We start from the raw sequence: 23,715 nt of genomic DNA, 5'->3' as shown, positions 1-23,715 counted from the left end.
CAAGTAGTGAGCAACAAACTTAGAAAGAAAAATATTATACAGTTAAATGTTCATGGAGCTTGATAGACATCTAATTATATCTACAACCAAAAGTACTATCCTATCTCAGAAAAACCCAGGAGTTGGAAGCAGAGTGAGAGAGGTAAGAAAAAGTATTCTAAATGTCTCTTATTGGTAGAAGTGCAGGACATGAAACATCTTAATGGAATACATAATTGGCATATTTTCAAATAATCATAATGTGTGTTTTATTATTATTGCTGGAAGGGAAGGTAACTAACAAGAGAATGGAAAAATATAGTAGAACATCCAAAATAACAATGGGGTAGGGGAAATGAAAGAATAGCAACATGAGCTACAAAGCTAAATCATGGGATGAGTAAAGAACATACAATAAGATAACAGAAATGAAATAAAAATGTATCATTCATTCCACTTGTGGAATAATAATTTATTCAAAAGAAGGCATAAAAAGAGGGAGAAAAGAGTCTGGGTGTGATGGCTCATGCCTGTAATCCCAGCACTTTGGGAGGCCGAGGCGGGTGGATCATGAGGTCAGGAGTTTGAGACCAGCCTGACCAACATGGTGAAACCCCGTCTCTACTAAAAATACAAAAATTAGCTGGGCGTGGTAGCAGGCGCCTGTAGTCCCAGCTACTCGGGAGTCTGAGGGAGGAGAATCGCTTGAACCCAGGAGGTGGAGGTTGCAGTGAGCAGAGATCATGCCACTGCACTCCAGCCTGGGCGACAGAGCGAGAGTCCGTCTAAAAAATAAATAAATAAATAAAAACAAATAAATAAATAAAAGTGACAAAATAGATCTATATTTATTGACATAAAAAGATGTCTTATGCCGGGCGCGGTGGCTCACACCTGTAATCCCAGCACTTTGGGAGGCTGAGATGGGCGGATCACGAGGTCAGGAGATCGAGACCATCCTGGCTAACACAGTGAAACCCCGTCTCTACTGAAAATACAAAAAAAAAAAAAAATTAGCCGGGCGTGGTGGCGGGCGCCTGTGGTCCCAGCTACTCCAAAGGCTGAGGCAGGAGAATGGCGTGAACCCAGGAGGCGGAGCTTGTAGTGAGCTGAGATCGCGCCACTGCACTCCAGCCTGAGCGACACAGCGAGGCTCCATCTCAAAAAAAAAAAAAAAAGATGTCTTATACACACTGTTGAAGTGTTAAAAAAAAAAAAAAAAAGAAATACCCCATCTCTCTCTCTTAGGGACCCTGGATTTTTTGGTCCTCAGCCCCCCTGAGACTAATGTTCCCCACTTTTCTTACACAGATGTCTCCCCAGAACCACATCAGGCAGGGAATCAGTGTGGGGAGGGCAGACCACATAGTCTGGTTTCTGAAACAGTTTTGAACAGAAGTATTTTGACCTTCTGTCTCCTTCAGTTGGGACACTCCTAATTTTAATGTCCCTTTTATAGTTGTAGAAACTGGGGTTCACGAAATTAAAAGCTTCATTTCAGGTCTATACGAGGCATGCCTCTCCTGAATCTACTAAAGGAAAGGAGGCCTGCTACGTGTCCTCTCAAAATGTGCTAGGGCATGCCATGAGCAGAAGGATTAAAGGGGCTAGAAAATTCAATATGAGCTGGAGAAGAGGTGGAAGAAGGGTCAGGTTTCTGGGAGATGGTGGTGGCATAGAGAAGGTAAGGCAGGGGGCACCCAAGATTCTCACCCATCCTACCACAAAGTCTTGCCTCTGCAGACACAACTCTACAAAAATCCAAGTGAGCCTTCCACAAATGATGAATGAATGAATGAATGAATGAATGAATGAATAAAAAGGGAGACAAAGTTTATTGCTGTATTGGAAGGAATACAAAGTCAAGAACCAAACCCTTTTCCAACCTTGGTGGCCCCAGTTCCTCTGAGTTCCCCCACATTCATCAAATCCATAAGGTACCCCAAGTCTCCCTAAGACAGTCATGGGGTAGGAGGATATCCTGTACCCAGCCCATGGGGATAGGGATTGAAGAGTCACCCTGGTCACCCCCATGCTGAGGTCTGTGATCAGTTACCCACAAGTCTGCAGATCTCAGTCCTTGCACATTCCTTGGTGGGGTCTTGTGTGCAGGTTGCCTCGACTCAGAGCCAAATTTGGGAATGCAGACAGGAGTCCTGGTCCCAGGTTTTGCAGGCAGAGAACTTGGTGGTGTCTGGGCAGGTAGCGTCGTCTGTCCCGACCTCTAGGTATGGCAGGACCAAGATCGAGGTGTCACCAGCCCCCAGAAAGTTGCCTGAGCCAGAGAAGAATAAGTCGTGAATGAGATCATTCCTGGTGACTCAACCCATGCATCCAAGACGTGAGAGTCCATCACCCCCAAGCCAGGCCCTGGTGCCTGACTGTGGCCGGTGAGTTGGGGAACAAGGAGGGACTGGCTGTTGGTCTGTGTGTCCTCATGGATGGGGAGCTGGATGAGGGTTGTGGTCTCTTACCTGGGGTAAGGGGCAGTGCCGCCGTGCGTACCACTCCTGGCAGTACAGGCTGACCTGGATTCCCTGGCCTAGAAACAGCATGGTCCACATCAGCACGTTCCATGCCGGGCCGGTGCGCTGGTCATGCATCATGAAGTTCAACATTCCTGGTGCAGGAGGAAAGGTTGTCATTCCAGCTCCAGGAGTGCCTTGTCTCCCTGGCTTCCCTCCCATTCCAGGGTATTGGGAAGAGATGGAACAAGAAGGCCCCATTGGAGAAGATCTTGAACTCAGGTGCAGAAATTCGTAGAGGTCTAAAGTGGCCCATGTAAAACCAGGATTCTTCAGTTTGTACTTCAATATCCTGAATCTCATACTGAGCCTCTCAGCCTCATCCCAGTTTCCTCCTCTTTGTCTTCCTCCATGAGTGATCTATTCAAATATTCCTCTCCAACCAGAAACCTCCTCCCACATGCCCCAGGATACAGCTTGGCTGCCTCCCAAATGCTGCCTCCCTCCCTGCTTTCCAAGTACCCCCTTGACTCCACCTCTCAGTCTCAGCAGCCTTGCCTCCAGGCCTGGGGGCGAGGCCTCCCACCATCAGTCTGGGATCTGCAGGAGCAGGATGCAGGCCTCCCTCTGGATGGCTCCCTTCCAGTGGCACAGAGACCAGCTCACCTCCAATGACAAGGAAGAGTATCAGCATGACGGGATAGAAGAACCCCAGGACGAAGCAGAAGATATACTCATGGGCCACTGCGGAGACCAGGAACACACCCAGCATGGCTACCCCTCGGGCCCGGGCACCAAGGAGCTGGCAGGGTGAGGAAAGGAGTGAAGAGTAAGTCTCCCTGAGCTCCTCCACAAAGAGCCCCCACCTCCAGCCCCCCGCCCGGCCAGCCGCCCAGTCCGGCAGGGAGGTGGGGGGGTCAGCCCCCCGCCCGGCCAGCCGCCCCGTCCGGGAGGTGAGGGGCGCCTCTGCCCGGCCGCCCCTACTGGGAAGTGAGGAGCCCCTCTGCCCGGCCACCACCCCGTCTGGGAGGTGTACCCAACAGCTCATTGAGAACGGGCCATGATGACAATGGCAGTTTTGTGGAATAGAAAGGGGGGAAAGGTGGGGAAAGGATTGAGAAATCGGATGGTTGCGGTGTCTGTGTAGAAAGAAATAGACATGGGAGACTTTTCATTTTGTTCTGTACTAAGAAAAATTCTTCTGCCTTGGGATCCTGTTGATCTGTGACCTTACCCCCAACCCTGTGCTCTCTGAAACATGTGCTGTGTCCACTCAGGGTTAAATGGATTAAGGGCGGTGCAAGATGTGCTTTGCTAAACAGATGCTTGAAGGCAGCATGCTGGTTAAGAGTCATCACCACTCCCTAATCTTAAGTACCCAGGGACACAAACACTGCGGAAGGCCGCAGGGTCCTCTGCCTAGGAAAACCAGAGACCTTTGTTCACTTATCTGCTGACCTTCCCTCCACTATTGTCCTATGACCCTGCCAAATCCCCCTCTGCGAGAAACACCCAAGAATGATCAATAAAAAAAAAAAAAAAAGGTAGTTTGGGGTTTAAAGTTGTTGACCTAATGCTGTGTCAGATGAAAGTATTTCTGCTAATGAATGTAACCAGAATAAAATTTGCTTTTAAGATGTTTACCTCCCAATGGTCAAAAAAAAAAAAAAAAAAAAGAGCCCCCACCTTAAGGAAGCCAGGGGGAGTGTGGCGCAGTGGAAAGAATATGGGATCTGAGGTCAGAAGGGGTGACATCAATCTTATTTAAGAGCATGCTGGCTGGGCACGGTCACTTACGTCTGTAATCCCAGCACTTTGGGAGGCTGAGATGGGCAGATCATAAGGTCAGGAGTTCAAGACCAGCCTGGCCAATATGGTGAAACCTCGTCTCTACTAAAAATACAAAAATTAGCTGAGCATGGTGGCATTTGCGTGTAGTCCCAGCTACTCAAAAGGCTGAGGCAGAAGAATCGCTTGAACCCAGGAGGCAGAGGTTGCAGGTGAGCCAAGATCGTGCCACTCTACTCCAGCCTGGGCAACAAGGCTGGACTCCATCTCAAAAAAAAAAAAAAAAAAAAAAAAAAAAAAAGCATGCTACTATCCCATTGGGACTTAGGTGCCATTTTAAAATGAGGATATAATCATATTTATTTCTCAGGGTTACTGTGCTGATTAAATGTATGTAAAAACCCTTGGTAGCTGAAAATTGCTATGTGCATGTTCCTTAGAAGGCTAAGGTGGGAAACAATGCCCTGTGGACAGGGTGGAATTAAGGATAAAGATGGAAGAAAGTTAAGATTGCAAGGACTTTCTACCCATTGGGTTGGGTAAAATGAGAAAATGAGGACAGATGAAATCAAAACGGCCCTTAGGCCCTTAGGTGAGTGGTGTAGTTGCCACACTGTAGCAGGAGGGAAGGAGAGGGAAGGAAGGAGAGCCCCTATTAACTGTGAGAGCTGAAGGGGTCTGCAGGGCCCATACCCGCAGCCCATCCTGATACACGTAGCTGTACAGCCAGTCATGGACCACCACGTTCCAAGTGCGGTAGTAGTTGGAGAAGGACGTTGAGTTCCACCAGTCCTGGAGAAGGTGGGGTCAGAGTGGGGGAAAGGAGGTAAGCAAGCATCTGGGTTCCGGCTCCTCCCCACTGCTCCCTCTGCCTGCACCCTATCCCAGTGTTCCAGAAGGGCTGGCTCCTGGCAGAACAGGGACAGCAGACACTCTCCCACCTCCCTCCTCAGGTCACGGAGGCCCTGTCCTCCCTCCTACTCCCTCTCTCAGGAGAAGATTCTGTAGTACCATGCACACAAAAGCAGTTAGCCCTGGCTTGTCAGGAGGTGGAGGGGTGGCATTATAAGCACATCCAGAGGACTGCATTTCTTATTATGGGAGGTGAACAGCATGGCTGAAGTGACACCCAACCTGGCTACCATCTTCCCCAGATCCCTCCCTAACCCTCCCTATCTCCAGCTTCCAACTGGCCTAGGTCCAGGCCCCACCCGGTAGAACATCCTGTCTCCAAATCGTAGCATCTCGGCAAAGGCGTTGAGCCAGCAATGGAGGAAGGCAAAGAAGATGAGCAGCAGCATGAAGATGCCTGGTGGTTGGGGACAAGAGGCTGCAGGTCAGGCTGGCCCACATGGACCCACAGGCAGCCCTGATCTGGGTTCTGAGGAGCCCCTGCCCAGAAACCAGGGCCCCAACTCTTACCATTCATTTATTGGTAATTCACAAATTTATGCATTCCTTTTTTTTTTTTTTTTTGAGACAGGCTGGACTGCAGTGGTGTGATCATAGCTCGCTGCAGCCTCAAACTCCTGGACTCAAGTGATCCTCCCACCTCAGCCTCCCAAGTAACTGGAACTACAGACATGAGCCACCACTCCCAGCTAATTTTTTTTATTATTATTATTTTTTTGAGACGGAGTCTCTCTCTCCCAGTCTGGAGTGCAGTGGCACGATCTCAGCTCACTGCAAGCTCCGCCTCCTGGGTTCATGCCATTCTCCTGCCTCAGCCTCCCGAGTAGCTGGGACTACAGACGCCCGCCACCACGCCCGGCTAATTTTTTGTATTTTTGGTAGAGATGGGGTTTCACCGTGTTAGCCAGGATGGTCTTGATCTCCTGACCTCGTGATCCACCCACCTTAGCCTCCCAAAGTGCTGGGATTACAGGTGTGAGCCACCATGCCTGGCTATTTTTAAGTTTTTTGTAGAGATGAGATCTCACTATATTGTCCAGTCTAGTCTCGAACTCCTGGCCTCAAGCGGTCCTCCTCCTTTGGCCTCCCAAAGTGTTGTGATTACAGGTGTGAGCCACTGTGCCTGGCCTCATGCATTCATTTATTCATCCATTTGTTCATGTACATTTACTTGGCATCACTTTGTGCCAGATGTTGGTGATAGAGATGAATCTCAAAGGGCCATTGGGAGTTCACAGAGTAATTGAAGTGAGACACACACAGAGACAGAGACAGAAAGATGTCCAACCATGTGTCCAGGGCAAATGTAATGGGAGCTAAGTATGGTGGCATTGATGTGCCTGTGAGTACAGAGAAACAGGTGGGTCATAGTAATTGATGGCTACAAAAGGAAGGCTTCCCACAGGAGGGGGCATCTCAACCATGGGCCTCCAAGAAGCAACTAGATTCCATGGCTGAAAATTAGGAAAGGGTATTTCAAGCTGAGGGGCCAGTATGGGCAAAGGCCTGGAGGCATGGAAGCACATATCTTCCCCCAGATAGGCTGGGGCTGTGTGGGAAGGAGCCTTGGATGCCACATCAAGGGTTCATATCTGATCCAAAAGTGCCAGCATTGACTTATCACTAGAGTTTTTGAAGGAGGGTAGGGAATGATTAGTTGCAGTAGGAAAGTTCACCTGGGCAGCAGTGTTAGGGGTAGATGGGAAAGGAAAGATCTGGGTGCCAGGGAGATGGGTTAGGAGGCTGATGTGGAGGGGGAGCAGATGGTCTGAACTGAGACCATGGCAATGGCCCTGATAGGAGGGGACAGATGTGAGGAGAGACTCAGAAGGAGAACGTGTTGAAACTGAGGGAAGGTAACTAGCAAGGCCTTCCCTGATTAGCCTTCCCCAGGGCACAGCTGCTCTAGCCCTACCTTAGTTGGCTCACCTGGCAACGTGGCATGCAGGATAGAGAGCACCAGGGCACGGGTGCTGAAGGGCTCTCGGCTCATGTTGGCAAAGACAGGAACACAGAGGCGGCCCAGGATGAAGCAGGCATAGAGCACACATCCCAGGGCCTGGAGGGGGCATGGGGACACATAACTGGAGAGGGATGCTGGCAGCTGCCGGTGGCATTGACCTCTGGCCCAGCACTGGCCTTCTCTTCCCTTGGCATCACCCTCCCACTGCCTCCCCAGGCCTCCCAGAAATGTCCCCTCTCCACCACCATGAGTCACAGGTCCACCCTTCTACCCTATCTTCTCACCTGGGCAAAGTTCTTGGCCACATAATTCCACCTGACATAGGGCGTCCTGCAGCGGCAATGGGGACAATATGTTTCTCATTCTTTCATGTTGTTCTCTGTTCAGCCTGGGCACGGGTTCTGGGGCCCTCTCTCCTCAGTTCCCTTAATTGCTTAGGCCTGGGAGGATTATCTAGGGTGGTGGGGTCTAGGATACTCTGAACTTTCCATAACAGAGATAACAAGTGGGTTTTAAGCATGGATGTCAACAAGGGTGTGTAGGATGGGTAGGATTATCAAGACAGTCCTGGGTAAACCAGGAAAGTGGGTTGCCCTAGTGTCATCATAGGCCGGGCAAGGAGACAGGGTAGTCTACCAGTCACCTATTTCCCATCTTTATTATGAGATGCTTCCTGAGAAAGTGGCCAGTGCCTGAGGTGAGCCTGAGGACCTCAGGGAGGGGAGAGTAGAAGGGTAAGTTTCCTGATGGGCCTGGGCATTTGGGGAAGGAGTGCAGGGTCTTACCTAGGGTAAGTCTCCCTGTAGATGAGTGTTGGGCAGAAGAGGAAGTAGAGGTAGCTGGAGAAACTGGGGGCCTGGATCCCCTCACCTGGGGAGGAATGAGAGGGGTGGATTAGTAAGGGCAAGGGCAGAGGGCAGAGGTGAGGGGGCTGCTGGGGAAGGGTGGTGGGATTGGTGAGTGGAGAAATGGATAGGGTGGGGGTGGGGGATAAGCAAGGAGCTGGACGTAGGACCTGGATGCGGGCTAGGGGAGCTAAGCTGGGCAGGAGCGGAACTGGCTCTTTAACACCATCTCTTCTGCTGTCATTTCAGGCACCCTATCTTCCAGTGCAGGGCCTGCTGTGGCCAGAGCTTCATTTGGTACCCACACGTTCGACAACCCATTCTCCTTCCCCTTCTGTCTGGACTTCCTAATACAGGCACATCTTATTTTACTGCACTTCCCAGATATTGCCTCTTTTACAAATTGAAAGTTTGTGGCAACCCTGCAAGAGACAAGGCTATCAGTGCCACTTTTTCCAACGGCAAGTGCTCACTTCATGCCACTGTGTCACATTTTGGCAATTCCTGAAATATTTCTTTCTTCTTATTATTATATGTGGTATGGTGCACAGGCATAGAGCACACAGCCCAGGGCCTGGAGGGGGTGTGGGGATACATAACTGGAGAGGGACACTGGCAGCTGCCGGTGGCATTGGACCTCTGGCCCAGCACTGGCCTCCTCTTCCCTTGGCACCACCCTCCCACTGCCTCCCCAGGCCTCCCAGAAACGTCCCCTCTCCACCACCATGAGTCACAGGTCCACCCTTCTACCCCAACTTCTCACCTCGGCAAAAATCACTGTGACCAGTGATTTTTAATGTTACAATTGTAATTGTTTTAGGGCATCATGAAATACACCCAAATAAGAGAGCAAACTTAACTGACAAATTCTGTGTGTGTTCTGACTACTCTGCTGACCGGCCATTCTCCCATCTCTTCTGTTCTCCTCGAGCTTTCCTATTCGCTGAGATACAACGATATTGAAATTAGGGGCCAGCCTCAATGGCTCACTCCTGTAATCCCAACACTTTGGGAGGCCAAGGCAGGAGGATTGCTTAAGCCCAGGAGTTCAAGACCAGCCTGGGCAACATAGCAAGACCCTGTCTCTAAAAAAAAAAAAAAAAAAAAAAAAATTGGCCGGGCGCGGTGGCTCATGCCTGTAATCCCAGCACTTTGGGAGGCTGAGGTGGGTGGATCACTGGAGGTCAGGAGTTCGAGACCACCCTGGCCAACATGGTGAAACCCTGTCTCTACTAAAAGTACAAAAAAGTTAGCTGGGTGTGGTGACACACACCTATAATCCCAGCTACTCAGGAGGCTGAGGCAGGAGAATCGCTTGAACCCAGAAGGTGGAGGCTGCAGTGAGCCAAGATCGTGCCACTGCACTCCAGCCTGGGAAACAGGGCAAGACTCCATCTCAAAAAAAAAAAAAAAAATTTGAAATTGGGCCAATTAATAACGTTGAAATGGTCTTTAAGTGTTCAAGTGAGTGAAAGAAAGAGTTGCATGTCTCTCACTTTTTTTTTTTGAGATGGGATCTCAGTCTGTTGCCCAGGCTGGAGTACAGTGACATAGTCATGGCTCACTGCAGCCTTCACCTCCCGGACTCAAGTAATCTTCTCACCTCAGCCTTCCACACAGCTGGGACCACAGGCATTAGCCACCACACCTGGCTAATTTTAAAAAGTTTTTTGAAGTGAGACCCCATCTCACTACGTTGCTCAGGCTGGTCTTGAACTCCTGGGCTCAAACGATCCTCCTGTCTCAGTGTCCCAGAGTGCTGGGATTACCTGTGTGAGCCACTGTGCTCAGCCTGCAGCTGGTGACTTTAAGGGCTCTTGTTAAGGGCTAATGCAGCTGGTGACTTTAAGTTGGAGCCAGTGCCAACTTGTCATTCCAAAAATTTTAGGGCCCTTAAGAATGATGCTAAATATACTCTGCCTGTGCTCTATAAATGGAATAACAAAGCCTGGGTGACAGGCTGGGCCTGGAAATAGGAAATAGGAAAGTGCCAGAAGTCCTGGGTAACAGAGGTGCCATCTGTCAGAGGCAGGGGCTGAGAATGCCTAATGATGAAGGCCCACAGAGCCCAGCTGGATGCCAGGGCTGTGCCTGGTGGGCAACCCGGGCTTAGGAAGGCAGGGACTTTTATCAGGATCCTGCACCTGCTGGCTTCATTCAGTCAGCCAAGAGGACTGAGTTCACAACCGGGCAAGATGAAGGCCTCACCTCGTCTGGCACGAAGGGTCCCAGGCACAGCCTCTCTCAGGAAGGAGTAGCTTTTCATCAGGAACCTAACCTGTGGCAGAATGGAAGGGGAGGAAAAGTTGCTGTGTGGCTTTAAGCAAATCGCTTAACCTCTCTGTGCTCTGGGTTACCTCTGAGAGGCAGGCAGAGTGTAAGATCTGTCTGGTCAGAGCCCATACTTTTTCTTTTTGTTGGATGGCCGTATAGCCTAACATATGCTGGGATGAATGAAGGCTGCTAGGATAAGAGGCCAGAGCGGAGTCTTCCGGTCAACCTCCTGTGATGGCGGTGTCACAGTGTTTGCCTTCCAGCCTGCAGGTTCCCCAAATCCCTCGTAATGGACTCCACCCCCGGTAACTAGCTCCGCCCCTGCCAATGCCTTCTCCAGCGCCTCCCTCTCGTGGGCCCCGCCCCCTCTTTGGGGGACTCCCCCTCTGCTGAGATGGCCCCACCAGCTGGTTCCTTCCTGTCCGTCAGCAGGGCTCGGCCCTCACCTGCTCGAAGACCAGGACACAACGGGAGGCCGGCGGGAGCTGATGCTCCACGGCCACGTGGACCGGCAGCGCGCAGAGCACCACGGCGTGGGCGGCTAGCAGCGCACAGCCCAGGCCCGTCGCCTGCGTCCAGGTGCCCCTGGCCCACAGCCGTAGGGCCTGGTACGGCGCCAACAGGGTGGACAGAAACATGGGCACCCAGGTCACCAGCGCCAATGGCAGCTGTCCGAAGCTGAAGATCAGTAGGTCAAACTCCAGCAGCAGCCTTGGAGTGGGGAAGGAGAGACAAAGTAGACAAGTGAAGCCCATTCTTGTCCCCTTCCTCTTCAGTCTGAGCTCCTGGAAGATGAACTGAGGTATCTTGATCAGGTTGTGAGCTCCCCATCTCTGGAGGTGTTCAAGACGGCACCTCTGTGGCACAGGGCGTTGCTCCAGGAGACTCAGTCATGGCATGAGTTTGATTCTAAATGACCTTGAGAGCCCTCTCTGATTTCATGGTGTTGGTAAGGGCTCAGTACTCTATATACAACACATGTTAGGATATGAGGTAACTAGACTGACTTTCCTTAGTTTTATTCCTTTGGAGCGTCTGTTGTTGTAGATTGGAGGTAATAGGATGCCGGTTGTTCAGTGTTTTGTTAGCCTAGGTTAATAGTGTATGGTTTGTTAAGGGGAAAAACTGAAAACAACCTAAGTGTCCATTAGTAAAGGACTAAGTGAACAAATCTGGCACCTCCATATTCTTCAGTCCTTCAAACCAATGGACTAACATGAAAAGATCCCTAAAATAAATTGTTAGGGAGTAAAATCAAATTACAAAATAATAGGTACAGTTTCTTGTTTACGTGAAACCTCCACAATGTACCTATCTTTGGTACTGAATGTCAATGCATGGAAAATGCTCTGGGTGGAAACTCAGAAACTGTTTTTTTTAGAGACAGAGTCTCGCTCTGTCACCCAGGCTGGAGTGCAGTGGCACAATTTCTGCTCACTGCAACCTCCGCCTCCCGGGTTCAAACAATTATCCTGCTTCAGCCTCCTGAATAGCTGGGACTACAGGCTTGCACCACCACGACTGGCTAATTTTTTTTTTTTCAGTAGAGACAGGGTTTCACCATATTGGCCAGACTGGTCTTGAATTGCTGACCTCAAGTGATCCGCCTGCCTCGGCCTCCCAAAGTGCTGGGATTACAGGCGTGAGCCACTGCACCCAGCCAGAAACTGTTTAAAATCCTCCGAGAGCAGTGTGGGATTGAAGGAGGCGGTCAAGAAGGACCTCCTTTACACAAAAACATGTATTTGAGCTTTTTACTGAGATTTTATCATTTTTAGTTTTTTTAATTTATTTTTTTCTTATGCAAACCTAGCAGTAGATTTTGTCCTTTTAATACTTGTATAACTAACAACAAAAATTTTACCAAAAGGCAGTGCTGTTGCTGAGCCTGTGGATCCTTGGAGCTGTTTTTTTCATTGCTTCCCAAGCCCAACATAGGGAGAGGGGATGTGGCAGGCCAGGTTTCACTAATACAGGCCTCCATAACAACTGTTTCAGTACTGATAGAGTGGTTAAGTTAAATATTAAAAGCCAGTGCCCTTATACAAAGGCCAGAATGTAACAAAAGCCCACCAAGAGTTTTGCCTAGGCCTTTCCTGAACCTCAAAGCATGATTAAACAAGTTTTATTGGGGGTCTGAAGAAACTCCCCAGGCCTCCACAAATGAGTTTATTGGGATTCTGAAGGAACTCCCCAAACCTCTGTGATTTAGCAGGAGATAAGAGAAGGGTAATCACCCCAGCACCTGGACCCATTTAGATTAAGTAAACTTACTGAGGCTCCAGAAGAAGGTCTTCAAGACTCAGACCTTAGTTATAGATTAAAAGAAGTTAATCACTTATGTCTTTAGATGAATGCACACCTACACATAGACATAGAGCTTAGAAGGTATATAAGCTCTGGAAAACTTTATAATTTTTAATTGGCCTGGTGATAATTTCCAGGCCTTCTCCCTGTAACTGGTTACAGAAATAAAAACTCTCTTCCTCCCCAGTTCATCTGCATCTCGTTACTGGGCCTCAAGAAATAGCAGCCCAACCTTCAGTTTGACCTGGGAACAAAACGTGGCAAGCCAGCCAGGAGAGACCGGGATGGTGCTGTGTTCAGCCACCAGTGGCTTGCGATGAGACAGTCTTCAGGAGGGTCCAAGCAGCTGCCCGTGAGATTTTTCCTGGGGACCCTCCCGAGGGCTGTCCCGTGTGCAAAACTGCACGTCCCTTTCACTACTGGGGAAGAACAGAGATCAGAAGCAGACACGCTCAAAGGGTGAGTTAAACAGATCATATGCCGGGAGCCTATTGTTTTCCTATTGGGCTTGTTAAGCCATTTGTCCGGTACCACCCAGGGAAGCAATAGGGCTCACTCATACGCCTGCTTTGCATTTTGGTTGCAATCAGGTTTTGAGTTGGTTTTGAGTCTGTTTTGCCTGAGTGCACTCCCCCTTGTGTTGTCCAAAATTTGTCTCCACTTATTTGTGTATCTGTCTTATTCCCTTTGATAGCATGTAAACTTGAAAATAGGAGGTATTGGCTGGGTGCAGTGGCTCACGCCTGTAATCCCAGCACTTTGGGAGGCCAAGGTGGCTGGATCATGAGGTTCAGGAGTTTGAGACCAGCCTGGCCAAGATGGTGAAACCCCATCTCTACTAAAAAAATTAGCCAGGTGTGGTGGCGGACGTCTGTAATCCCAGCTACTTGGGAGGCTGAGGCAGAGAATTGCTTGAACCCAGGAGGCAGAGGTTGCAGTGAGCTGAGATTGCACCACTGCACTCCAGCCTGGGCGACAGAGCAAGACTCTGTCTTAAAAAAAAAAAAAAAAAAAGGAAAGAAAAAAAAGAAAATGGGAGGTATTGGGTCCATTCCTGCTGAGAGGCCACTGGGAAGGAAAAATATCTTCTAGACGCTCAATGGTTGAGAGTCAGCTTAATTAAAAGATAACATCCAAGATGTGTATACGTATGTGTGCATGTGTGCACGTTTGTATTTAAAAGGCTTTCATGTTTTTGGTTTTGTTTTTATTTCTCTCCTAGGACCTTGTCTTTTTTTTTTTTTTTTTGAGACAGAGTTTTGCTCTGTCACCCAGGCTGGAGTGCAATGGTGCAATCTTGGCTCACCACAACCTCCGCCTCCCGGGTTCAAGCAATTCTCCTGCTTCAGCCTCCCGAGTAGCTAGGATTACAGGTATGTGCTACCACGCCTGGCTAATTTTTTATTTTTAGTAGAGACAGGATTTCTCCATATTGGTCAGGCTGGTCTCAAACTCCCAACCTCAGGTGATCTGCCCGCCTCAGCCTCCTAAAGTGCTGGGATTACAGGCGTGAGCCACCACACCCGGCCAGGACCTTGTCTTTTTGAGCAGAAGTTTTTTTCCTTCTCAGTTGACTGAATTCTGTTTTCTTGATTAATAGCTATTACAACAGAAGCTACTCTGGGGTTTTTAAGAAGTGTAATTGAGAGACATAGAAATGTCTTTGGGAAAAAAAAATGTAAGTGCACTGTAAAAGCCTCACATGATCTGGCTTCATAATAATTCTCCCTTTTTGAAAACCCAGGATTCAGTGTAAGATCTGCCCAGAGCACAAAGATCCAGTTAAAAGAGAGGAAAAAGGAGGTCTTAGGAATCTATAAAATGTACTTCTATTGGCATGCCTAATACGTCTGCGTATTTATGTCTTGTGTATACCATGTTTCACTACTGAAAATATATAAAAGAGTTCTAATTAATTGGCTTAAAGAAAAATAAAAGCACTTAAATACTTTAACAGAAAAAAGGAAAGACTAGTCAAATGCTTTTTCAAGTTTATGTGACTTAAATAAAATCTTTAATACATAAGCTAGCTTTAAAAATTATTGGTAAAGTAATACTAGAAATGTCTTAAGAGTTGCCAGCATACATTTTTGTTTGCATTTATTGATCAAGCAATTTCATACTTATCTCTGCCAAATACTATAAGGTGTCAAAATTTGGCATAGAGGCTACAAAACTATAACTCAGCCCAAAACAGAATGATCTTTGCTCATGTCATTTTTAATGAATGAAACATTAATATTGTTTAATGAAGATAGCGACATCTTGAATTATTTAGTAAAATACCCTAACTTCTACTCTTGTGGCCTTAGTCTAGTCCACAGACATGAAGGAAGTTTGTTCTGGGAAAGGACTGTTATCATTCTCTGTTTTAAAGCTACACTATAGGTTGGGCAAGGTGGCTCACACCTGTAATCCCAGCACTTTGGGAGGCCGAGGCAGGCAGATCATGAGGTCAGGAGATCGAGACCATCCTGGTTAACACGGTGAAACCCCGTCTCTACTAAAAATACCAAAAAAATTAGCCGGGCGTGGTGGCGGGCGCCTGTAGTCCCAGCTACTCAGGAGGCTGAGGCAGGAGAATGGCGTGAACCTGGGAGGCGGAGCTTGCAGTGAGCCGAGATCACGCCACTGCACTCCAGCCTGGGTGACAGAGTGAGACTCCATCTCAAAAAAAAAAATGTAGGCAAATGATTAAAATAAATAATTAGATAAATGTAATGGGATAAATACTCATAAACTTGTCATAATTTAGAATCTAAAGTTAAACAACAGATATTTCATTATTTGGGTATTTTCCAATAAAAATGTAGGAAAACATTCTTTCTAAAAATTGTGTCCTTTTTAAAGAGTAACTAATTTTTGTCTAATTCAAACCTTAAAGGTTATATATAAAACAAGGTAAAAAAAACAGGAAATAAGAGAGGCATAAAAAAAGTTATAAAAATAAAGACAATTTTAAAGATTATTGGTAAAATAAAAATATCTTCAAAAATGTAAACGTTTGGTTTAAATTATGGATGTCAAATATTAGGTTTGCTAAATGCTTTAGGTCATAAACTGCATCTTTGACTTAAAAATTGTTAAATTTATTTTGGAGCGTTAGATTCTAGATAAGGCTAGGGACATGTGAAATTAGCCATGCCCCCTAGATATGCAAAAAGATATTAAAGAAAAGAGAATTTATATAAGAAAGGATCTTGTATGGTAAATTCTTGTCCTAAAGTAAAATAACTGGTTGTTTAAAGAGAAACATGTTTAGGACAAATCAGAAAGTCAAGGGATGTCAGAGATTGTCTGTGGAAGTCCTGAAAGAATTTGTTAAAGGAAATTTATACAAGAAATGTTATACAATTTAAAGGTGATTAGGCCTCCTAAATGCTTTATGACTCTTAGCTGTACAACTTGCCTGCTTTACAGCTAGGTAAGTCCTAGGACACATGGAGTTAGACGCTGGAATAAGTCAGACCTTATCTGTACTCCTGTCTAGGTCCTAGGCGCCACACCTAGTACATAATTAAAATCCCAAACTTACCAAGGTTTTCACCAAAAGTAAAGGTTGCTAAGAGTTAACAGTATAATATATATTTAACACTGTTGAAGAAACAATTTATGTGCAAGGTGTATAAGAAAAGTAAAATATACTTTTGGTAAAAAGATTATAAGAAGGCATGACAATAATGGATTTTTCCCTAGATTAAAAGGTAAAAGGATTGTTTTAAGTTGGGTAAGATAAAGATGGAGGTTTAAGCAAGTTGTGGAAGGTTGATTGTAAAGGAAATTCTGTGTGTAAACATATTGGCTAAAGTTAAAGGGGTATCATCCAGTTTCTTCTGTAAATTGAGCATTAAAATAAAAGCACAATGGGTTTCTCTTAGAGCACTAACCTGCTCTTTAACAAAAATTGTAAAGGGTTCGAAAAAGTCTATACAAATCTTACCTTATGGTCAAACATTAAAATTGGGTAAACCATGTGTATAAGGTTTTATTAAGACTTAGGTTTAAGGCCAGGTGCAGTGGCTCACACCTATGATCCCAGCACTTTGGGAATGTCAAGGTGGGTGGATCGCTTGAGGTCAGGAGTTCAAGACCAGCCTGGCCAACATGATGAAATCCCATCTCTACTAAGAATACACACAAAAAAATTAGCTGGGTGTGGTGGCGTATGCCTGTAATTCCAATTACTTGGGAGGCTGAGGCAGGAGAATCACTTGAATCCAGGATTCAGAGATTGCAGTGAGCCGAGATCATGCCACTGTACTCCAGCCTGGGTGACGGAGTGAGACTCTGTCTCAAAAAAGAAAATAAATAAATAAATAAATAATTGGGTTTAACATTAATAGTACACTAATATAAAGGTGAAATTTGGCTTATTTGGTACCAAAAATCATACAGGAAGCATTGCCAAATATAAAATGGGGTTTGACTTTCTTTGGGCTATATTTGTATAAATATGTTATTGGTATGTATTCCAAAGTTATGAGAGACTGCTATAATTCTGATATATCTTAGTGTACATTATCAATAATAATTAGAATTGTTATTTATTTATTTATTTAGATGGAGTCTCGCTCTGTCACCCAGGCTGGAGTGCAGTGGCGTGATCTTGGCTTACTGCAACCTCTGCCTCCCAGGTTCAAGTGATTCTTCTGCCTGAGTCTCTCAAGTAGCTAGGACTACAGGCATGCGCCACCATGCTCAGCTAATTTTTGTATTTTTAGTAGAGACGGGGTTTCACCATATTGGCCAGGTTGGTTTTGAACTCCTGACCTCGTGATCCACCCACCTTGGCCTCCCAAAGTGCTGGGATTACAGGCATGAGCCACTGTGCCCAGCCATTGTTATGTTAAATTGTTGTGTGCTACAGAGGTAACAGATTTCCTTGTCAATTGTGTCTTTAACTATGGCTACCCTAAAACTGTTTGTCATCCATAAACAATTGTTTTCTTGTTTTGGTCCTCTTTAGAAGGTGGTTTTATAATCAGTTATAAAGCTCTAACAGGTGCTCTTGAATGCAGGTTTCTGATAACTTTGTAGATTGTGACATCACAATGGAGGAAAAACATTTAGGGCTCTTGAAGAGTTAAAATATTCATTAATATGAAGCAGGACAGGAATTAACTGCATGTACTGAACTAAAAGGAGATTGAAGTGATCTTTTTCACTTTTTGCTTAAAATGTTGCTAGTCCTTTGTTTTGCTTTGCAGAGTCAAGGAAACTTTTCTTTTGAGCTATTAATAGCTTTTAACAATTAAGTAAAGTATACTCCTATGAATAAAATTTGGAGCATGTTTGTTTCTCTCTACCTGATTTCTCCAGAATTTGGAAACTATTTGCAATATTAGTTATTTGCATAGTACAATAAGAATCTGTTTTCTTTTGTAACAGGACATAATTGGAAAAAGTGGTTATTTTCCCAAGGCTTTGACTGGAATGGTGTACTCTTTTTTAAGGAATCGAACTTGACTTATGAAGCCAATAAAGCCCTTGAAAACTGGCATCATATTTTGTGTACACAGTCCCTGTCCAGGGTTTCTGATCTGTGGTAGGTAAAGAATGTCATTTTCTGACAGGCCAGGAACCCCAAGTTATCTTGGAACCTCAAGAGAAGAGGAATTCACCCAACTCATAGGTATTTATTGGTACAAATCCATGGCTGGGCTCGGCTTTAAAAGGACTTATCTCAGATTCCTTCTATGGAACGAAGTTCCATCAAAGCCAATTTAAAAGGCCTATGTGAAACTAATTATTCTTGCTGTACTGTATACAAATAATTAAACCAAGTATAATAAAGCAAACCAGTCCTACTATGATCTGTCTTTTAATAAAAATGGGAAACTGGAGAGAGAAAAATTATGTTTCAAAAACTATGGCTGGGCTCAGTGGCTCACACCTGTAATCCCAGCACTTTGGGAGGCCAAGGTGGGCAGATCGCCTGAGGTCAGGAGTTCGAGACCAGCCTGGCCAACACGGTGAAACCCAGTCTCTACTAAAAATACAAAAATGAGCCGAACACAGTAACACGTGCCTGTAGTCCCAGCTACTCAGGAGGCTGAGGTTGGAGATTCGCTTGAACCCAGGAGGCGGAGGTTGCAGTGAGCCAAGATCACGCCACTGCACTCCAGCCTGGGCAACGGACCAAGACTCTGTCTCAAAAAAAAAAAAAAAAAAGTACATCTGTTGTTAAATTCTAGTCTTGCCTGATGTTTTTCAGTTTTTATTATTTTCTGCAGTTTGGATTAAATTCTAACTTTTCTGGCTACAGGTCTCCAAAATAATGTTTTCAATTTTTTCCTCTTTCTTTTCCATTTTCCCCCATTCTTCCTAATTGGTAATCACTGAAACCTAAGCTCTGCTTTCTTAAAGCCCTGCAAACTGAAGACTAGACAACTTAAACTTCAGAAGAAAAGAGCAGTAGCCTATTTATATGTACTGTTACATACTATTATGTTTCAGCAGGTGCTGCCTCCAAGGCCCCGAAACAGAGAGTGCTACTGCGAACAAATCAACCTCTTCCACTCCACTGCTGCTTTTGGTGCCCCATAACGACGACCCCCTCTCAGCAGGAAGTAGCCAGAAAGATTACGACTCCCCATCTCCCTGCGATTCTCATGATAAATAAATATCCATGCATGATAAAAATCGTGTAAATTGACAGTGGGGACTGTGACAAGCAGGTCTCACTAATGCAGACCTCCATAACAACTGTTTCAGTACTGACTGAGTGGTTAAGTTAAATGTTAAAAACCAGTGCCCTTATACAAAGGCTGGAATGTAACAAAAGCCCACCAAGAGTTTTGCCTAGGCCTTTCCTGAACCTCAAAGCATGATTAAACAAGTTTTGCTGGGGGTCTGAAGAAACTCCCCAAACCTCCGTTATTTAGCAGGAGATAAGAGAAGGGTAATCACCCCAGCACTTGGACCCATTTAGATTAAGTAAACTTACTGAGGCTCCAGAAGAAGGTCTTCAAGACTCAGACCTTAGTTATAGATTAAAAGAAGTTAATCACTTATGTCTTTAGATGAATGCACACCTACACATAGATGTAGAGCTTAGAAGGTATATATGCTCTGGAAATTGTAATTTTTAGTTGGCCTGGTGATAATTTCCAGGCCTTCTCCCTGTAACTGGTTACAGAAATAAAAACTCACTTCCTCCCCAGTTCATCTGCATCTCGTTATTGGGCCATGAGAAATAGCAGCCCCAACCCTCAGTTTGGTCTGGGAATAGTGGGAGGTATGAAAATACAGACCCCCAGGGGTATACAGCTCTCTGAGGCTCATCCTCACAGTTGGATGGGGTGCTCTGTGGGGGAAATGACCCACCCAGGCACTTGGTTACATGTCTGTCTTCCCCACAAGACTGGGAGTGCCTCACAGACAGGAGTGGGGTCTGCCCCCCTCATTTCTCTGGCCACTAGGACTGGTACTCGGGAGGTGCTCAATGGAGGTTACTTGAATAGAACTGACTTGGAAAGGAGTGTGTATGGGTGTGCATGTGTGCACACACACACACATCTGCCTCAGGGCAAGGTGTCATTGAGAAGCATTTGAGAGTGGCCGGCCCTGGGAGGACAGACAAAGGGCCAACCAAGGCTGGGGAAGGAAGGGATCCTAGAGAGTGTTTCAGGTGGAAAGGTTGTTGGGAGCAATGTTGGTACATGTCCAATAACCAAAGGGGGAACCTGTGTCCTCTTGCCCCAAGGGCAGGTGGGGCACTGAGGACCCAGAGGGTCTGATCAGATAGGTGTGCCTGTCCCAGGTGGGAAGGGGACCTACCTGCCCTCATCAATGAAGTCGATGGCCAGGGTGCTGATGATGAAGACACACAGGCCAGCGATGAACATGTGGTAGATGGTGCGGAAATGCTGCACCTCCATCAGCTCACTAGAGGGACAGGGGCCCGAAAGTCAGTGTGGGAGGGTCCTCAGGGTTGTGTGAACTAGCTCAGACACTGTACACATGAGGCATGGGGCCTAGCGATCCAGAACTTCCAGCTAAAGGCCTTTCTTCCACAACCATGCCTAGGGCAAATAGGGGACCTGCACCTTAGAAACCCTTTCCAAGTCCTCTCCACAAACCACCTAGAGGCTGGGGATGAGAAATGAGGTACCTTGACCCCTAGCCAAAGCCCTTTCTTTTCCTCCCATTACTTGTCATCACCCCGACTTACTCAAGCAGGGACTTGCGGATGATGAAAACTTTCTGTTTCCCCAGGGATGGCTCCTGGGTCCTGAATTGAGATGTTTGTTCAGGGTCAGGAAAAAGTAAATGGGCAGAGGGCAGGGCCATGCAGAAGGTCAATACTTGGGAGCCAAGGGGAGTGGTAGGGAAAGGTCAGGGCTAGGGCCAGAGGGCAGGACCGGGTAGAAGGTCAGGGCCAGGGCAGAGCGAGGCCCAGTAGATGGAGGTCAGTGTTAGGAAGACAAGGGGGGAAGAGGGAAGGCTGGAGTCACGGTCCTGATAAAGCTGGCAAGGGCACATAACGTGATGTTTCTAGCTCATGATCCTTGCTACAGAGGAGCCCGCGCAGCCATTCCCCAGACTCACCTGCTCAAGGAACCTGGGGGAGGTGGGGGCAGAGGTTTGTCTTGTGATGGGTAGGATTGTATAGCCTCCCGCATGGCCCGATCCAGCAGCTCCCTCAGTTGTCCCTGCGCTTGCTCCAGCAATTGTGCCTTCACAGCCTACGGGACAAAGCCAGGGTAGAGCCCACTGTCCCTCCAGTCAGCCATCCTTTCATTCACCAGACATTCACTGAATTTCTGTCTATGCCAGGCACAGTGCTTTTTTTAAAAAAAAAAACAACCTGGGGGGTCAGCAGGGATGGGGGTTCAGTGGTGGCAGGCCTGCGGGGGGAAGGGCAGGCATTGGTGGGGTGGTGATGGGTCTGCTGGTGGGGTAGGACCCCGCAGTGCTAAGTGCTGTGGTAAAAAGATGAACAAGCCATGATCCCTGCCCAGAGTTGATCTCCTTCTGGCTTCCTGGGGCAGCAGCGAGGATCAGGGAGTGACAGCAGGAGCAAGGCTTCCCCTCCCTGGGTCTGAATTCCAGCCTGGTCACCTCCGATTGTCACTCCTCACCCCTGGCCTCCAGCCGCACTAGCAGGAAGACTCTATCTACTGGCTGACTTTTGGTGACCTTTGGGACCTGTGCTTCAAACCCCTCCATCTCCATCCTTAATTCGAATCCGATCTTTGCACTCAGGAACAAGTCATCAGGCTGGGCACCGTGGCTCACACCTGTAATCCCAGCACTTTGGGAGGCCGAGGCGGGTAGATCACTTGAGGTCAGGAGTTCAAGACCAGCCTGGCCAATATGGTGAAACCCCGTCTCTACTAAAAATATAAAAAAAAAATTAGCCACACCTGGTGGCACTCATCTGTAGTTCAGCTACTCGCTTGAACCTGGGAGGCAGAGGTTGCAGTGAGCCGAGATTGTGCCAATGCACTCCAGCCTGAGCAACAGAGCGAGACTTTGTTTCAAAAAAAAAAAAAAAAAAAAGTCATCTTTATCACCAAGCCTCACTCCTGCTTCCTGCTACCAAGGATCTGTCCACTTGACCTCTGACCTCTGACATCCCTCACCTCCATGTGTCGGGTCCATTGTACCAAGTCCGGGGCTCTGTGCGTCTCAGTGTTTCCTGTGAGGAGGGATCAAAGGCACAGTCAACAGGAGGAATTGGGGTTCTGCAGACCCAGAGGCATCCTGTGGTCAGGAAATGCTTTGTGTGCTCAGCAGCTGCCCTCACCCCAACCAGCCAATATCTAGTATCATGGTTGGGGCTACTAGAAGGGGAAGTTGCTGTTGCCAGTGGTGAGGAGGCCATAGGCAAGCAGGGGGCCTGGTGACATTACTGGGAACAGGGCACTCAGGGAATGGGAAGCTACTCCATTCACTATCTGGGGCTAAACAGTCAGAAGGATAAGGCCAGGCCACAGCTCTGACATAGCTCTTTTCTGTTCCATCTTCCAGCTGGGTGGCTCTGGGCTGAGGCCAGGGTCTACCTTCCTTGGCCTCTCTGGACAGCAGGAAGGATTGGCATCAGGCAGTTGGAGCCTTCTCTCCATAGCGCATCTCTCCCCGCCTCCCCCCCACTTGCCTGTGCCTTCTGCACCCCCGAGGGCGGCTCACCATCTCCACAGGGTTGGCGCTCCCGCTCCCCTCCCAGCCCTTCTGTCCTCTGCAGACGCAGACGGGCCCCGCCTGGCTCCATGGTGCGGTCTCCAGCGGGCAGCAGGCAGCCCTTGCCCGTGTTGCCTCCTTCCTTCGCAGTGTGGCCTGCCCTGTAGAGCTCTTGTCCCACTCAGCTCAGGTGACAGCTCCAAAGACTAAAGTCCTTTCAGGAGGAGGGGGCCTCTGGGAGTGCGATAGGTTATCTGATCTGGAGGCAGAGCTTCTCAGATTCAGACCTCACTCTGCTGTCTGTCGCAGGGATCGCCACATCCCCCTAACACCCCAACCACCATCCAGATGCCCAGCTCCAAGGGTGCTATCCACCCCGCCACACACACACAGGAATAGTGGCTGGGTACATCTTGGGGAGGGGAACTTTGCCTCTCAGAAGCTTGTCACCTAGCATGGCTGGCCTTCCAGTCTCTCTCCCAGCAGGCTGAAGGTCAGGGAGGAGTCAGAAATGTCTTCATGTATCAGTGCGTTCAGCTCGCTTTCACCACAAGGTGTGTGATTGACACATGTGGTAATATTCTGATGGGGTTGGCACTGTGCTACTCACGGAACTGGGGCCCCTCCAGGAAAGGCTGAGTGTCAGGGCCCCTGAACTGACAGGGCCGCTTCCTGACACCTGCTTGGGTGAGCATGTAGGCAGAAAGGAGACTAAACAAACACGTATTCAGCACCTAGGGAATACCAGGTATTGTCACATATGGAAGAACCGGATGCAAACCTCCCTCTGTCATTTACCAGCTATATAATTTCAGGCAAGTGACCCCAAATTTTAAGCCAGTTTCCTCCTCTGAAAAATAGGGGTAAAAATCCCTATATCACAAGGTTATCGTAAGCTCAAAATGAGGTTGTCCAGGTAAAATCACATGGTTCAGGGCCATGGGATGAGCTCATATATTAGTAATAATTTCCTTCTTTTTTTAGTAGGAAGTAACAGAAGGGTATGTGCTTTGAGAGTTCCTCTTTGCTGGGTTCCTGCTGGGATTAACTATTAATC

At 47.4% G+C, this 23,715-nt stretch overlaps 1 protein-coding gene and 1 long non-coding RNA gene across 8 annotated transcripts, besides 1 other annotated feature; one reads left to right on the top strand and one right to left on the bottom strand.

Annotated features, from left to right (window-relative positions):
* Window positions 1-1,791: 1,791 nt before the first annotated feature.
* SOAT2 (sterol O-acyltransferase 2) lies at window positions 1,792-22,841 on the bottom strand. 6 transcript variants are annotated; one of them, NM_003578.4, is made up of 15 exons: window positions 22,668-22,841; window positions 22,121-22,176; window positions 21,084-21,220; window positions 20,707-20,766; window positions 20,313-20,420; window positions 10,673-10,937; window positions 10,161-10,230; window positions 7,893-7,977; window positions 7,392-7,437; window positions 7,074-7,203; window positions 5,444-5,541; window positions 4,926-5,024; window positions 3,111-3,246; window positions 2,454-2,599; window positions 1,792-2,254 (listed from the first exon to the last, which is right to left on the bottom strand). In NM_003578.4, the coding sequence occupies exons 1-15, from the start codon at window positions 22,747-22,749 to the stop codon at window positions 2,204-2,206; spliced, it is 1,569 nt and encodes a 522-aa protein (NP_003569.1). In that variant the 5' UTR covers window positions 22,750-22,841; the 3' UTR covers window positions 1,792-2,203. The 6 variants fall into 6 exon arrangements, with proteins under 6 accessions (NP_003569.1, XP_047285628.1, XP_047285629.1 ...); XM_047429672.1 differs by lacking the exon at window positions 20,707-20,766; XM_047429671.1 differs by lacking the exon at window positions 1,792-2,254 and having other exon boundaries at window positions 2,473-2,599; window positions 2,981-3,246.
* Window positions 10,796-19,695, top strand: LOC124902936 (uncharacterized). 2 transcript variants are annotated; one of them, XR_007063315.1, is made up of 3 exons: window positions 10,796-11,028; window positions 12,721-12,992; window positions 18,993-19,695. It is a non-coding gene; the product is annotated as an uncharacterized LOC124902936 (long non-coding RNA). The 2 variants fall into 2 exon arrangements; XR_007063314.1 differs by lacking the exon at window positions 10,796-11,028 and having other exon boundaries at window positions 12,563-12,992.
* Window positions 22,731-23,259: an enhancer, noted in NCBI's record as "H3K4me1 hESC enhancer chr12:53496852-53497380 (GRCh37/hg19 assembly coordinates)". NCBI's record gives its function as "activates a minimal SCP1, AML or CMV promoter by ChIP-STARR-seq in primed H9 embryonic stem cells {active_cell/tissue: H9 hESC(primed)}" and the evidence as "EXISTENCE:reporter gene assay evidence [ECO:0000049][PMID:30033119]".

The sequence above is a fragment of the Homo sapiens genome, chromosome 12 (genome assembly GCF_000001405.40).
Source record: "Homo sapiens chromosome 12, GRCh38.p14 Primary Assembly".
In the NCBI taxonomy this organism is placed as follows: Eukaryota; Metazoa; Chordata; class Mammalia; order Primates; family Hominidae; genus Homo; species Homo sapiens.
Note: the sequence above shows the minus strand (reverse complement) of the source record. Positions and strands in the feature narration are given on the sequence as shown.